Genomic DNA, 17,880 nt, shown 5'->3' with positions numbered 1-17,880 from the left:
AAGAGTGTTGCTGGACCCAGAAATATTAGCTTCCACTTTGTGACACAATTCTGAGCAAGTGAGAATCAGTATAAAAGGTCCACTTATCAAAAGGGGCTTTTAAGGTTGCTTAAGACAATGGTAGGTGTATAATTCACCTCCTCAAAATTCCTTCTCAAATAGTATGAAATAACCTCACAAGTAAGAAAATTCTACAAAAAATTATACCCTAGGCATTACTAGATGACAGAGAATGCCAAAACTGGAAGGTGTAAGTGAAATAAAAAAGTCGAAACCCCAGCATTTTGGTCTAACGTGTCATCTCCAACTTTGCACCTCCGCAAGGCTTTGAGGAAAGGCCAATTGAGCAAAACTGCAAGGAAGACAAAGGAGGTTCCTTGGGAAGAGTTCGAGCAACCACCAGAAAAATTAAAACTATTATATCTGAAAATTTAAAATACTAAAATAGTATTTTCGCAAGTCAGAGTGCAGACCACAGAGAAGGGATTTCAGAGAAGGTGCCATTTAAAAACATAGATGCTATGGAAAGGACCAAGTGTACAGCTTATGGCACAACTTTAGTTTAAAGGTTATGAGCAAGACATAAGGGACAGGATTCTAAATACATAATTTATTTGAAATGAAAAGACAAATAGGAAGGAGAAGGTGTCTTTTGGCAATTGGGTGGTAAAGACAGAAACAAGAAAAAAGGAAAGTTTTAGAGTCTTCTGTGGCTAAAGGGTAAGAAAAACCGTACATCAGATTGAAAGACCTACCACCTATCCAGACCAGCCAAACCAACAGATGATCAAATAAATGGGCAAACTAACTCTGATTTTGTACTTGAATTATCCTAGTCTGGCAGTAAAAGATACTACTAATATAAGAATTTAGTAAAATTACTTAACATCTTAAATGAATAAAAGAAATGTAGAGTTAAGAGAAAAATATTTTTAAAAATCAAAACACAAAATTTTACACAAATAAACTAAGTAAACCTATCCTGAAAAAAAAAAAAGAAAGCAGAAAAAGAAAAATATAACCAAAATAATGAAAATGGCATAACAATGCAAAATTGTTAAAAAGAAAGTAGTGGAATTTGAAGACCAACAAACCAACAAAGAATGAATAATATTTATACGATTGGAGTCATAAAAAAGTGAAAACATTAAATATATTTAAAACTATAAACAAAAATTTTCAGATAGAAAAGAACTACACATTGAAAAGACTTACCAAACACTTGAGGAAGTTATCCTGAAATAATAACTACCTAGACATTTCCCAGTAAAACAATTACATTTCAAAGATAAAGATAAAATCTTCAAGGTCTTTAGATAAAAAGACCAAATCATTCACAAAAGCAAAAGAATTAAACAAGCAGCAGACTTTTTATAACCAACATACAAAGCAAGGTACCAATGGAGCAGCAATTTTTAAAAATTCAGTAAAAGACAGTTTGAACCCAGGGATTTATATCTAGGCAAGATGCCTTAGAATATCAACTCTTAGAAAAAGAGTGTTTAATATACAAGACTTAGAGGAATCTGTGCCTATTAGTCTTTCTCAGAGGATCTACTACAAGATAATGGCATCCAGTTGATAATGGAGAAAACTTTTGCTGAAGACTGATGGTGAGCATTATAAAACATGTAAATATACATATACAATTAAAACAAAGGTAAAGATGAAGGTGGATGATTAATGTCATATATTCTGACAAAGTAGTAATAATGCAGATAAAACACTAGATGAGAGGAAAGCATAAACAGACAAAGATAATTGTTACCAAGGCAGTAAGTTATTCAGAAGATATGAAATAGCCAAATAATAAAACTTAGCATTAATGGTGTTAGTGAAGATATAAGTCCAAAAGCAACCACTAGAGCAAAACTAAAAGTAATTGCAAAAACGACAATTACTTTTGCTCCAACCTAATGTATAGCTTCCTAGGAGTTAAAAAAGAAAGAGAGCAAAGAATGTTTACCTAGTTGCAGATAATGGATTATAAAACTAGTGTGTGAAAGTATGAGGAGAATCAGGATTTACATATCCTCAAAGTATTTCTCCCAATATATTTATTAACTCCACAGGAAAAGATAATAACTGATATAGTTTGAATGTTTTTACCTCCAAATTTCATGTTAAAATGTGATCCCCAATATTGGAGTTAGGGCCTGGTGGGAGATGTTTGGGTCATGGGGGCAGATCCCTCATAAATGTCCTGGTGCCCTCCTCACAGTAATGAATGAGTTCTCATTCTGAATTCATGTGAGATCTGGTGTCTAAGAGTGGGACCCCTCTGCCTTTCTCTTGTCAGGTAACACAATGGCTCTCCTTTCACCTTCCACCATGAATGAAAGCTTCCTGAGGACTTCACCAGGAGCAGATATCGGTTTGTGCTTCCTGTACAACCTGCAGAACTGTGAGCCAAAGTAACCCTCTTGTCTTTATAAATTACCCAGTCTTAGGTATTCCTTTATAGCAATGCAAGTAGACTAAAAAGTAACTTTATATTGGAAAAACCTATCAAAAATCGCCTTAAGCAAGTGATCAAGGTAAACATCCCTGTTTATGAGACATAGTGATATCATAAAGTCCTTGATATTATGCATTGAGAACATAACATTATTTCTGTGCTATTCTTGCAAAAATGCATAAATTCATTCCAATTATAAGGAACATCAGACAAACTCAAGCTGATGGGCATTATGGCAACAAGTATAGTAATCATTAGTCTAAGTGTGTCAAAATTGTCAAGGTGAAGAAAAGCAAGGAAAGACCAAGAAATGGATACAGATTGAAAGAGACTTGAAAGACACAAAAACAAAATGCAACATCGAACCACTGACAGAATCCTGGAACAGAAAAAGGACATTAATAAAAAAACTAGTAAAATTTTAGTAAGTCTGTAGTTCAATTAATAAATTACATTAATATTCATATCCTTTGCCCATTTTTTGATGGGGTTGTTTGTTTTTTTCTTGTAAATTTGTTAAAGTTCTTTGTGGGTTCTGGATATTCGACCTTTGTAAGATGGGTAGATTGCAAAAATTTTCTCCCATTCTGTAGGCTTCCTGTTCACTCTGATGATAGTTTATTTTGCTGAATAGAAGCTCCTTAGTTTAATTAGATTCCATTTGTCAATTTTGGCCTTTGTTCCCATTGTTTTTGGTGTTTTAGATATGAAGTCTTTGCCCATGCCTATGTCCTGAATAGTACTGCCCAGGTTTTCTTCTAGGATTTTTATGGTCCTAGGTCTTACGTTTAAGTCTTTGATCCATCTTGAGTTGATTTAAGGATATGAACAGACACTTCTCAAAAGAAGACATTTATGCAGCCAACAGACATATGAAAAAATGCTCATCATCACTCGTCATTAGAGAAATGCAAATCAAAACCACAATGAGATACCGTCTCACGCCAGTTAGACTGGCAATCATTAAAAAGTCAGGAAACAACAGATGCTGGAGAGAATGTGGGAAAATACGAATGCTTTTACACTGTTGGTGGGAATGTAAATTAGTTCAACCATGGTGGAAGACAGTGTTTCGATTCCTCAAGGATCTAGACCTAGAAATACCATTTGACCCTGCAATCCCATTACTGGGTATATACCCAAAGGATTATAACTCATTCTACGATAAAGACAAATGCACACGTACGTCTACTGTGGCAACTGTTCACAATAACAAAGACTTGGAGCCAACTCAAATGTCCATCAATGATACACTGCATTAAGAAAATGTGGCACATATACACCATGGAATACTATGCAGCCATAAAACAGGATGAGTTCATGTCTTTCGCAGGGACATGGATGAAGCTGGAAACCATAATTCTTAGCAAACTATCACAAAATCAGAAAACCAAACACCGCATATTCTCACTCATAAGTGGGCGCTGAACAATGAGAACACATGGACACAGGGAGGGGAACATCACACACCAGGGCCTGTCAGGGGGTGGGGCGCTAGGGGAGAGATAACATTAGGAGAAATACCTAATGTAGATGACGGGCTGATGGATGCAGCAAACCACTATGGCACGTGTATACCTACGTAACAAAATTGCACATTCTGCACATGTAACCCAGAACTTGAAGTATAATTTAAAAAAACTAATTAAAAAATTTTAAAAATACATTGATGTTAATATTCTGATATTGATACAATTGTTAGGCTTTGTAAAGTGTTAACCTTAGCAGAAATGGGTTGAGTACAATATTTTTGTTGGTCTAAAATTTGTACAGTTAATTTTTTCTTAAAAAATGCTCATTGAAAATAATTAATAAAAATAGGTAATAAGTTCTTCAAGAATGAAGAGAAATTGAGTGATCTGAATAAGATATCATCCTTATAACAAAGGGGACTATTCAAATATATTCCATTTCTAACTTTAATTTAACAGTTAACAAGACACTTGCCTAATTAGACATCAAGTAAATATTAAATTATGAGCTAGCCAAGTTCGTGATTAGGAACAAAAATCCAATATCCTATTTAAATTAACCACAGTTAAATCCACTTTATTTGTTATTATTCAAAAACTAGAGCTTGCAGTGCCATGTAGGCAGGGCACCTCAAACCTGGATAGATACCTGTAAGGAGCTGATTTTGATCTCCTCTGCAGGAGGTTCTCTAATACTGTACCAACCCTGCCCACAGACCCCACATGCAACATTACCATCACCACCACTGGCTGACATGATTCCCTTCATGATTTCACCCAGAACTGCAAGACTGGGGCACCAGAATGGTGTTGACACCCCAAATAAGAGTGATTCTCACTCAAGTTGGACATGGGCTGAATTCAGGAATTTGGATTACCACTGTCTACCCTTAAACTAGAGCTACTTCTGTGGGCATATGAAAAAGGCTCTATCAGGTTCCACCTCTGGTCTAGAAAAACCTAGAGAAGCAGGAGGCAGCCCTTAATAAATACTGGGTTTGCCATATCTGGCTGAATGGCACAGAGATATTGAGTATTGTTTATGGTACTATTTCCCATCCAAAGCCAAAACAAATGTGCCCAAGCTACCACTAAAGAATGTATTTGTCATGAATATGACAGGTTATCAAATGTTACCGAGGGATAACCTAAAAATTTTCAGTTGCATACTTTCTTGTTTTAGCATTCTATAGCAAAGAAACTTCTTGTTCAGTAAATTGAAAGATACAAAGAAGAACATTTTCTCCTTTGATATTCTTGATAATGACTTTCAAATGTTGGCATTTATGCATGAGCGGAAGCCACTTTTCAAAGAATAATGTAACTGAATTTATCTTCTTCTTTTGACCTTTAAATGACTTTTTGGTCTTGCCTCACTTATCTATCTTACTTTTTGGTTTGCCATTCTCTCTCATCTTCTGAGATCATTGGGCCAAGGCTTCAGGGTGAACTTCTTCAAAGAAAAATGCTTTCATATTAAAGCCTTGTCTGTTTTGGATCAAGACTTCAGAGCTTGTTCCTGCAAGAAAAATTAGAAATAATACATCAGTTGTGTAATTACTTTTTAAAATCCTTCACAAATGTAGACTTTTCTGTTTCTCAAGTAATGACCTGTATAGATTTTATTTGATATTTTAATAATAATATTTCCAATAGAGTAGTATCTTCTAAAAAATCTTCTAAAAATATTTCAAAATTCTATTACCTTAATTAAGCAAAGTAGTTCTTAGAAAAAGTCTTAAAAAATAATAGCAATACTCCTTTCACATATGTTTTATATTTTTTAAAAAGTGACCCAATGAGAAATACAAATTATAAAATATAAAACTGAGTTTTTAAAGTAAATTTTATATCTTCTTATGTACACCATTAGATTGAACCACTATTGATCTATAAAAGTTTAAAAAAACAAAAATCCTCAGTCTTTGTGGTGATTTCTTTTTAAGGTTTATTATATCTATATCCATATCTATAGATAGATACATTCATACTGCCCAAAGGAAGATAATGTTTGACAATTATTAAATTGTTGCTACTCCAATAAAAATTATTGTTATTATTATAATTTTTATTAAAAAGAGGCCCTTGTATTTACTAATCTATATGTACTTACATAGTGGGAAATATTGACATAAAATAAGGTAGTACCTTGCCAGTAAAATTTTTTTATATTTTTACTTCAAAATAAAGCTTTTATAAGTTAAATTTAGGCATGTGGATCTAATTTATGAAGTTGTTTTGTAGCATCTTACCGTGTTATCCTAAAATATACCTTTATTGTCTATTTTACATTTTGTCAGCACAAACTTTAACCAAAACATAAATACTGTCAAATCATACATATTCTTAGGAAATGAGCTCTATTTTGCTTTACAATATATATTAAACTAAAATGTTCTAAAGTAAATAAAATGTGCAAGTTATTAGAGGAATTAGATGAGTTTTTATTTTAATAAATCGGAGTATAAAAATATAATTTAGCTCAATAATAGTTTTAAAGTTTTTCTAGATTTACATAGATTTAGAAAATTTTACATATATGTAAAACAAAATGAGTTATGCAATATATATACATATCATATTAGAATATCTGCAGTGACAGTCATTGTACAAAATACTTGCTTCACTAAATTTTAAAAAGCAGCTCATTAATTATCTAAATATTGTCATGTTAGGCTTTTCCTAATTTTTTCCGTGTAGCTTTATATATGGGGACAGTGGGTCTGAGAAAGACTTTTTAAAAGTTTTCCATTGTACACTAGGTTCATTTAAATTTAAATTCTCAATAGAATTGAAAACACTACTGCTGGCTTATAGGGTGTTAGACATTTTGCTAGATGCTGTGAAAATACAGACTAGTGGTTTCTTATTTAGAGGAGTATGCAGTCTAATGGAGGAGACTTTCATGCAGGGGACTGAGTAAAGTGCAGTATACTAAATTTCAGGGTATACCAGAGGAGGGCTGATTTATGTTGTCTGAGGATAGTGAATATTCATTTTCAGAGCAACCGGCATTGAATTGGGCTATGTGTGATATGTTTTTGCTTTTTACCTCTTTCTGTATTATCTCAATGAGAGCTACTCCAAACCTGTGACTTTATAATCCTATCATCCCATTTTCTTCCCACATTTTCACATATTTGGAGCTAGAATATATATGAAGCAGTAATGCATGATAGGAAATCTCCTTGATGATTAATCTCCTAAACATTATAAGACTTAGCCAGGTAGACTTCTAACAGCAGAAGACTTGTAAACTCCTCTGAGGAAATTATTTTATTTAGTCTCCTCATTTAATATATAAGGAAAGTAGGTACCAAAAGGATTATGCTATTTTTTCTTTATTCTATTTTATTATTATTATACTTTAAGTTTTATGGTACATGTGCACAACGTGCAGGTTTGTTACATATGTATACATGTGCCATGTTGGTGTGCTGTACCCATTAACTCATCATTTAGCATTAGGTATATCCCCTAATGCTATCCCTCCCCCCTCCCCCAACCCCACAACAGTCCCCAGTGTGTGATGTCCCCCTTCCTGTGTCCATGTGTTCTCATTGTTCAATTCCCACCTATGAGTGAGAACATGCAGTGTTTGGTTTTTTGTCCTTGCAATAGTTTGCTGAGAATGATGGTTTCCAGCTTCATCCATGTCCCTACAAAGAACATGAACTCATCCTCTTTTTGGCTGCATAGTATTCCATGGTGTATATGTGCCACATTTTCTTAATCCAGTCTATCATTGTTGGACATTTGGGTTGGTTCCAAGTCTTTGCTATTGTGAATAGTGCCGCAATAAACATATGTGTGCATGTGTCTTTATAGCAGCATGATTTATAATCCTTTGGGTATATACCCAGTAATGGGATGGCTGGGTCAAATGGTATTTCTAGTTCTAGATCCCTGAGGAATCGTCACACTGACTTCCACAGTGGTTGAACTAGTTTACAGTCCCACCAACAGTGTAAAAGTGTTCCTATTTCTCCACATCCTCTCCAGCACCTGTTGTTTCCTGACTTTTTAATGATCACCATTCTAACTGGTGTGAGATGGTATCTCACTGTGGTTATGATTTGCATTTCCCTGATGGCCAGTGATGATGAGCATTTTTTCACGTGTCTGTTGGCTGCATAAATGTCTTCTTCTGAGAAGTGTCTGTTCATATCCTTCGCCCAATTTTGGTGGGGTTGTTTGTTTTTTTCTTGTAAATTTGTTTGAGTTCATTGAAGATTCTGGATATTAGCCCTTTGTCAGATGAGTAAGTTATGAAAATTTTCTCCCATTTTGTAGGTTGCCTGTTCACTCTGATGGTAGTTTCTTTTCCTGTGCAGTAGCTCTTTAGTTTAATTAGATCCCATTTGTCAGTTTTGGCTTTTGTTGCCATTGCTTTTGGTGTTTTAGTCGTGAAGTCCTTGCCCATGCCTATGTCCTCAATGATATTGCCCAGGTTTTCTTCTAGGGTTTTTGTGGTTTTAGGTCTAACATGTAAGTCTTTAATCCATCTTGAATTAATTTTTGTATAAGGTGTAAAGAAGGGATCCAGTTTCAGCTTTCTAAATATGGCTAGCCGGTTTTCCCAGCACTATTTATTAAATAGGGAATCCTTTCCCCATTGCTTGTTTTTGTCAGGTTTGTCGAAGATCAGATGGTTGTAGATATGCAGCATTATTTCTGAGGGCTCTGTTCTGTTCCATTGATCTATATCTCTGTTTTGGTTCCAGTACCATGCTATTTTGGTTACTGTAGCCTTGTAGTATAGTTTGAAGTCAGGTAGTGTGATGCCTCCAGCTTTGTTCTTTTGGCTTAGGATTGACTTGGCGATGCAGGCTCTTTTCTGGTTCCATATGAACTTTAAAATAGTTTTTTCCAATTTTGTGAAGAAAGTCATTGGTAGCTTGATGGGGATGGCATTGAATCTATAAATTACCTTGGGCTGTATGGCCATTTTCACGATATTGATTCTTCCTACCCATGAGCATGGAATGTTCTTCCATTTGTTTGTATCCTCTTTAATTTCATTGAGCAGTGGTTTGTAGTTCTCCTAGAAGAGGTCCTTCCTGTCCCTTGTAATTTGGATTCCTAGGTATTTTATTCTCTTTGAAGCAATTGTGAATGGGAGTTCACTCATGATTTGGCTCTCTGTTTGTCTGTTATTGGTGTATAAGAATGCTTGTGATTTTTGCACATTGATTTTGTATCCTGAGACTTTGTTGAAGTTGCTTATCAGCTTAAGGAGATTTTGGGCTGAGACGATGGGGTTTTCTAGATATACAATCATGTCATCTGCAAATAGGGACAATTTGACTTCCTCTTTTCCTAATCGAATGCCCTTTATTTCCTTCTCCTGTCTGATTGCCCTCGCCAGAACTTCCAACACTATGTTGAATAGGAGTGGTGAGAGAGGGCATCCCTGTCTTGTGCCAGTTTTCAAAGGGAATGCTTCCAGTTTTTGCCCATTCAGTATGATATTGGCTGTGGGTTTGTCATAGATAGCTCTTATTATTTTGAGATACGTCCCATCAATACCTAATTCATTAAGAGTTTTTAGCATGAAGGTTGTTGAATTCTGTCAAAGGCCTTTTCTGCATCTATTGAGATAATCATGTGGTTTTTGTCTTTGGTTCTGTTTATATGCTGGATTACATTTATTGATTTTCGTATGTTGAACCAGCCTTGCATCCCAGGGATGAAGCCCACTTTACCATAGTGGATAAGCTGTTTGATGTGCTGCTGGATTCAAGGCTCATAGATTTAAAAGCTGCCAAACTAGTACAAAAATTCAGACATTTAGATTTAGAGTTTGAGTGCTCATCTTAAGTCTAATTTGATATTCCAAGCTACATCAATATTCCCCAAAGTTGCATCTAGATTAGAAAATAAGAATATCCTCTTAATTGTGTATATTTGTTTGCCCACTGTTTTCATGAATATTTGAGTCATTTCAGAGAAAAAAAAGATCCATATATAAATTGTATAGATTGGAAATGTGAGTTATCAATCATTTACTTTTTTTTAGAGAGATCTTCTTCTGCAACTTGTTCATAAAAAATATTATTTAATATTTGCTGTCCTAACTCTTTGATTTGTGAAGCAATAACAAGTATTAAGGTGATTAAAATATTTTACATACATTTTTCAGGTTCTTTAAATTTAGCTGTGAAAATTCTAGTATTCTTGTTCTTATATGGATTTTCAAGAAAACATTACTTAGCCTCTATGTACCTTGAATACTCTTTTATTATTTTTATTTTGAAAAAAAAATTTCTTAGTATGACCATATCTCAGGTTGTCTATAGATTTACACTATTTATTGCATTATTTTCCCTCTAGATTTCTTGCCCTGACATTTCAGTATAAGATATGTATCTACACAAACAGCACATTTTCTCACATAGCACCTTTAAAAATTAACAAATATTCTTTTTTCCCTAAGATTTCTTCTGCTCATGATTAAAATATATAAAAGACATTCTACCAATGGAACAGAACAGAGCCCTCAGAAATAATACCACACATCTACAACAATCTGATATCTGAGGAACCTGACAAAAACAAGAAATGGGGAAAAGATTCCCTATTTAATAAATAGTGCTGGGAAAACTGGCTAGCCATATGTAGAAAGCTGAAACTGGATCCCTTCTTTACACCTTATACAAAAATTAATTCAAGATCGATTAAAGACTTAAATGTTAGACCTAAAACCATAAAAACCCTAGAAGAAAACCTAGGCAATACCATTCAGGACATAGGCATGGGCAAGGACTTCACGTCTAAAACACCAAAAGCAATGGCAACAAAAGCCAAAATTGACAAATGGGATCTAATTAAACTAAAGAGCTTCTGCACAGCAAAAGAAACTACCATCAGAGTGAACAGGCAACCTACAAAATGGGAGAAAATTTTTGCAACCTACTCATCTTACACAGGTCTAATATCCAGAATCTACAATGAACTCCAACAAATTTACAAGAAAAAAAACAAACAACCCCATCAAAAAGTGGGTGAAGGATATGAACAGACACTTCTCAAAAGAAGACATTTATGCAGCCAACAGACACATGAAAAAATGCTCATCATCACTGGCCATCAGAGAAATGCAAATCATAACCACAATGAGATACCATCTCACACCATTTAGAATGGTGATCATTAAAAAGTCAGGAAACAACAGGTGCTGGAGAGGATGTGGAGAAATAGGAACACTTTTACACTGTTGGTGGGACTGTAAACTAGTTCAACCATTGTGGAAGACAGTGTGGCAATTCCTCAAGTATCTGGAACTAGAAATACCATTTGACCCAGCCATCCCATTACTGGGTATATACCCAAAGGATTATAAACCATGCTGCTATAAAGACACATGCACACATATGTTTATTGCGGCACTATTCACAATAGCAAAGACTTGGAACCAACCCAAATGTCCAACGATGATAGACTGGATTAAGAAAATGTGGCATGTATACACCATGGAATACTATGCAGCCATAAAAAAGGATGAGTTCATGTTCTTTACAGGGACATGGATGAAGCTGGAAACCATCACTCTTAGCAAACTATTGCAAGGACAAAAAACCAAACACTGCATGTTCTCACTCATAGGTGGGAATTGAACAATGAGAACACATGGACACAGGAAGGGGAACATCACACACTGGGGCCTGTCGTGGGGTTGGGGGAGGGGGGAGGGATAGCGTTAGGAGATATACCTAATGTATATGAGGAGTTAATGGGTGCAGCACACCAAAATGGCACATGTATACATATGTAACAAACCTGCACATTGTGCAGATGTACTCTACAGCTTAAAGTAAAATAAAAAAAAGAACAAGCTAAATCCAAGATTAGTAGGAAAAGATAAATAAGAAAAATCAAATCATAAATAAATAAAATCAAGACTAAAAAGCACAAAAGATTGATGAAATGAAGACTTGTTTTTCTGAAAAAAAAATAAATAAAGTTGACAAAACTTTAGCCAGGCTAACTATAGAGAGAGAGAAGATGCAAATTAATAAAATCCGAGATGAAAAAGAAGACATTACAACTGAAACTACAGAAACACAAAGAACCATTAGATAATATTATGAACAACGATGTGCCAAGAAATTACAAAACTTAAGAAAAAATGAATCAATTCCTGGACACATGCAACCTACAACAATTGAATTATGAAGAAATAGAAAACCTGAATAGATAAATAATGAGTCCTGGGGCCCTCATCGTGCTCTGTGCTGTTGCCCAGTCTCACAAAGTGAAATGTCAAGAATTTGAATCTTTCTTTCTGACCCAGCCTGTGTTCTCTTCATTTTTGAATATTTACTTTCTCTTTGGTATCAATGGATTTGAACAGATTTTTCTGGTCAGGAAAATGAATTTTCTGACTCGGCAGATATTTTGTGCACACAGCAGTCTAACTTCCACACAGAGTACAACAGACACCGCTTCTTGTAACATAGAAAAGAGCTACATTGTAAAATGCAGTTTCCTGAATCTCTAATACTATTTCAAATCCTTACCAACTATCCTTTCAAATTTCCTTTTCCTATTTAAATTTTTATCTTTTAAAATCCAAAACATCATTAAATCTAACAGGTAAACAATATTTGGGAATGAAAATACAATTCTGAAAGACTGTGAATAGGTGGCAAGTCTAAATTTACACAAAAGTCAGTTAAATGTTTTTGACAACATCCTGAAAACTGATGAAATCATGCTCCATTAGTTCATAAATGAACGAGAAATTCCAGATCTATGGCCTTTCCTGGAAACACCTTGCCCTTGTCCTAGAGAATAATTCTCTGTCTTTTTACTCTCAGCAGAAGGTATTTTGTTAACCTTAGCTGCCTGAGGGGAATTTCAGGTGGAGAAGCATTCACAAGCTGGTTCTCATTAGTTAGTTTTCCGGTGTCTGTTATGATACATGCCACTATTCTTTTCATTTGCCTCATCAGGTTGTAAAGGCAGAGAGGCAGAAAGGTACTAAGGCAAGATCACTGAGCAAAGTGCTAAGGTGTAAGTTCTGATTCTGGGTTCTGCCACTGACGATAACAAATTGGAAGAACCACCAAAACTTCTCTGTGCCTCTGTTTATTTGTGACCTAAAATTGTTAGATCATTCCTAATCACTCTAATGTTCCTAATCAGTCTAAAATATCTATGCTTAGGTATTTAAATAATTATATGAGTTTGAATCAACATGTAAGACAGAAAATCTAAAATATTGAAAAATGTTCCTAATAAGTTGTAGAATGTCTGAGTTCAAGCTTTATCTAGAAATGATAAATGTAGTAATGAATGATGTTAATAATCATGCTAATGATAAATAATTGTGTCAGCCTATATTCTCATTACTTTCTCTTGACTCTTGAGAGAAGTCTAAGTGGCATTAACATGATAAAATTGTGTAATAATAATCTATCTGTACAACACAATGCATCTATGTAATTGCTACTTTTAGTCTTTTCAAATGTCAGTAAAATACTTTTTTCTTTTAATTCAATGATGTTGATAAAATACTTAATTACATTTTATGACCCTGAAATATTGGGTATACATTTCCTCAATCATAATTTATTGACAAAAGCTTTGAATTCTACACTACTTTACTAAAATTACAATTATTGTACATATCATTTAGGATAGTAAATCATTGTTTGGAAAAACTATTAATATGAGATTGTTTATTATATTATCTATTTACTGATTCATTCTTGATAAATATTAAATAGAAAAACACCTTATTTTTTTTTTTAAAAACTATGTTATGTTTCAGCCAGCATTTATAAACCTAACTTGGAGAAGAGCTAGCCGTTTCAGTTAAAAGAATGAGACCAATCATGGTTCAGAAAATAATTTTAAGTAGAATTCCTGGAAAAGGTCTTTACCTGGTTGGTATCCTATAATCTTTCATGTTTAGCTAACCAGTCTTTCAAAATTAGCAGTTACTTACACAGAAATGCTTTTTGCATGCATTATTTTTTGCTTGTTGGAGATGAAACATTTTCATTCTGAGCGTGCTCTGAGGACCAGCAGAATTGGTACCACCTGGGAACTTTTTATGAACGCAATCATTGTGCCTCATCCAAACCAAATGGGAGAGACTAGGGATAGGCCCAACAGCCTATTTTAAGCAGCCTCCAGGTGATTCTGGTGCACATAAAGATTGAGAGCTACTATTCCTATGTATATATGGGGGTTTATTGTTTTGTTTTTGTTATTAAATTCTATTAAAAATTAATTTTCTTAGAGAAATGTTAGGTTTATAGCAAAATTACACAGAAAGTACAGAGAATTCTAGACCACCACCTGCCCCAATACATGCTTAGGCTCTTTTATCAACAACATCCTACACCTGAGTGGTACATTTGTTAAAACTGATCGATCCTCTGTGTAGTTTTAAGAATGAGGCCAGGCGTGGTGGCTCACGCTTGTAATCCTAGCACTTTGGGAGGCTGAGACTGGTGGATCACGAGGTCAAGAGATCAAGACCATCCTGGCTAACATGGTGAAACCCCATCGCTACTAAAAATACAAAAGTTAGCTGGGCGTGGTGGCAGGCGCCTGTAGTCCCAGCTACTCAGGGGGCTGAGGCAGGAGAGTTGCTTGAACCCGAGAAGAGGAGGTTGCAGTGAGCCAAGATTGCACCACTGCACTCCAACCTGGATAACAGGGTGAGACCCTGTCTCGAAAAAATGATAAATTAAAAAAAAGAATGATAAAATTTGTTTTCCTCTTTAAATCATATTTTGAACTTTTAATTTTTTTAACTGGTTAAAAAATAATCTAATGTATTAACTGCCATTTCATTACTATACCTATTACTTGTTCATCTTTTTTGCAAGTTAGAATTTATGTAATGGTAACATTGAAGTTTGAATGAGCACTTATTGGCATATAGAGCATTAGTGATATTGTGGAGGGTTTGCTGAGGACCCCAAAGATTCTTTGCATCCCCTAAGAAACTTTACTCCCAATGTCAGCCCATAACAATCAAATATGGCAATCAAAAGCAATTGTTGAATATTTTTAATGAACTAAGGTGTTCTTGTAAAATTTAGAGTTATCATTTTGGTGAAAATCTTGCTAAAGTATGATATAGTTTCTCGGTGTATCTCTCTTTAGTACTAATGGGTTAGCTGTGATATATCAGTTCTTGTGGATTTTTTAAATTAAGTTTCCGTGTTTAAATATTATAATTTCTAGTAGATGTCAGACATTATGCCAGCCTTAATAAGAAACACAGTTTCAGAGAAACCATTAAGAATTTGTCTAACTCATACAGCAGGGAATAGCATTTTATTTAATGTTTTACTGGCTCAGTATATTACATTCCAGTTTTTCAAAGGCAGAAAGATGAACCAGTATATTACATTCCAATTTTTCAAAGGCAGAAAGATGAACCTTCAAGAAGATACTTTTGAGAGTGAAAGAAGTGCTATCTATGATTACTCAGAGACAACAGGTTTAATTGGCAAGCTGGGATATAAACATACCTGACTTTTTTTTAAATTTTACTTTTTAATTAACAAATAAAAATTGTATATATATTTTGTGTACAAATGATATTTTGAAATATGTATACATTATAGAATTATTCAAGGTAATCAACATATGCATTATCCCACATACATAAAATTTTGTGGTGAGAATACTTAAAATACACTCTCAGCTATTTTCAAAGTACAATACATAAATATTTACTATAGTCTCCATGTTGTATCATAGATTTCTTGAACTCATTTCTCTTAAGTAACTGAAATTTTATATTCTTAGACCAATTTCTCCCCAACTCCTCATCCCCAGCCTCTGGTTAATCATGATACTATCTCTATCTCTATGAGCTCAATTTTTTTAGATGTCGCATGAGTGAAATCAACTTCTTTAGACGTCACATGAATGAAATCAGGCAGTACTTTTCTTTCCGTTCCTTAGCCACTCTACTTTAAATTTTTTTCTGACAGTCAAGGCTTGATTTTTAAATTTTCTTTTATATTTGTTTTTTAGTGATTCCTAGCTGTTGGGATAATGGTTGTGTTACAATAGTGGCCAGACAATATTAATCTATTTTATGTAACCTGTCAGTGTTTTCATCTTCTTGAATGGCAACTTTCATGAATACATGCTGCTAAGTTTAGATGAATCATAGAAGTGTAAAAGTAAAAGTATTTTAGTTTTTCTAAAACATGTACATTAATTATATTTAGAATCTTATGCTCTATAAGAATATATCATGTTTTACCCATAGCATATAAATACTATATTAACAAAATATTACTAGTTGAACTTCCAAAATATGAAAAAGAGATTATAAGGATAGTGATTAAGTTAAAAATAACCCCTATTAATAAGAAGGGCATATCTCATATAATCTGCAAAATAATGAACACAGTGTTGCATTCATATAGAGGAATTTTTAATTAGTTCTCATGACTGAAATCTTTTTAGTGTATTACTTTATGTTATTGATATAAATCTGTAGTGAAAAGAATATGAGATGAAGAAAGGGGAAAAAAGGCAGAAACGATGTTTTTGTTTTCACATAAAATGACTATTACTGAAGGTCAGCTTATGTAATTTATATTTTACCACTTGTAATTTATATTTTACCACTTGACATACAGAGAGTGTTTTGGGGAAATGTGGCAGAAGAGGATACTGGGCACAGAATTATAGGTACCGACTTAACAAAAACACTTTGCACTACCAATATTGTTATGTGTCCTTTATTGGAAAGGGGAAAACATTTTCATTTTATAATTCCAATTAATGGCTTATATGTTTGTTTCTGACTTAGAAGCAGATAACACACGTTTTAGGAGTTAACTGCTAGGTGTACGGTAATACAGCCGAAAGGTATCATTAAAAGTACAGAGCCAACAGAAATTGCAGTGGGCCTTATTCAGAATTTAGAATGCCTAGCGTAGTTTTTGTTCTTTTTCTTGATAGAACATGCAAATATTTATTTTTTCAGACACAGTCTCAATGCATTCTGCTATTCCTTTTAAAATGGTAAAAGGCATAACATAAAACCTACCATCTTAACAAATGTTTAAGGGCATAGCAGAACATAACAGAATATGCACATTGTTGTACCACAGATATCTAGAACATTTATCTTGCATTGCTAAAATTCTATATCTATTGAAAAGCAACTTCCCATTTCCCTCTTCCTGCAGACCCTGGCAACCACACCCCTACTTTAGGTTTGGATGATTTTGACTACTCCGGAAACCTGATATAGGTGGAATTATGCATTATTTGTCATTTTGTCACTGGCTTCTTTCACTTAGCATAATATCCTCAAATTTATCATGTTCTGCATATAGCAGAAGTCCTTTCTTTTAAAGGCTTTATAATATTCCATTGTAATATTCCATATAATCCATTCCATATATTATATATATTATATATAATATATATAACATATAAAATATATATACATATATATTACATTTTGTTTATCCATTTGTCTGTCAGTGAACATTTAGGTTGTCTCTAGCTCTTTGCTATAGTATGGAGTGCTGCAATAAACATTAGTGTAAATATGTCTTTAAAATCCTGTTTTCAATCTTTTATAATTAATACCCCAATGTGGGATTGCTGGATCATATGGTAGTTCTCTTTTTATTTTTTTCAGAATCCCTACAATACTTGAGCTATTATTACTCTTTGATTTAATTAACAATTTGCCCATCTCATATAAACTCTTGGGAAGCAGGAATTTCACCCTTCATCTGTATTTCTTTTTGGCTATTTTGCAATGAAAAAATAAAGAACGAACCTGTGAGGAAAAAGATATTCACAATGTTGTGAACAGATAACCTAAGTCAGTGGGTGACTTCAGAGCTACAAAGTATGTTTGCACTATTACAGTTTAGGATGTTGCTATGCCAGAATAGTTTCAACTACTTCTTTGTAGACACTATAATTGAAGACATGTTCATTCTT

General features: G+C 33.9%; 1 long non-coding RNA gene across 1 annotated transcript in view; it reads right to left on the bottom strand.

The window, feature by feature from the left end:
• The window catches only part of LOC105375931 (uncharacterized), a 190,238-nt gene that overhangs the window by 139,367 nt on the left and 32,991 nt on the right, over positions 1 to 17,880 (bottom strand). Inside the window, exon 2 of the long non-coding RNA XR_929115.3 lies at positions 5,321 to 5,449. This is a non-coding gene — a long non-coding RNA (uncharacterized LOC105375931). The remainder of the gene's footprint in view (positions 1 to 5,320; positions 5,450 to 17,880) is intronic.

The sequence above is a fragment of the Homo sapiens genome, chromosome 8 (genome assembly GCF_000001405.40).
Source record: "Homo sapiens chromosome 8, GRCh38.p14 Primary Assembly".
Classification (NCBI taxonomy): Eukaryota; Metazoa; Chordata; class Mammalia; order Primates; family Hominidae; genus Homo; species Homo sapiens.
Note: the sequence above shows the minus strand (reverse complement) of the source record. Positions and strands in the feature narration are given on the sequence as shown.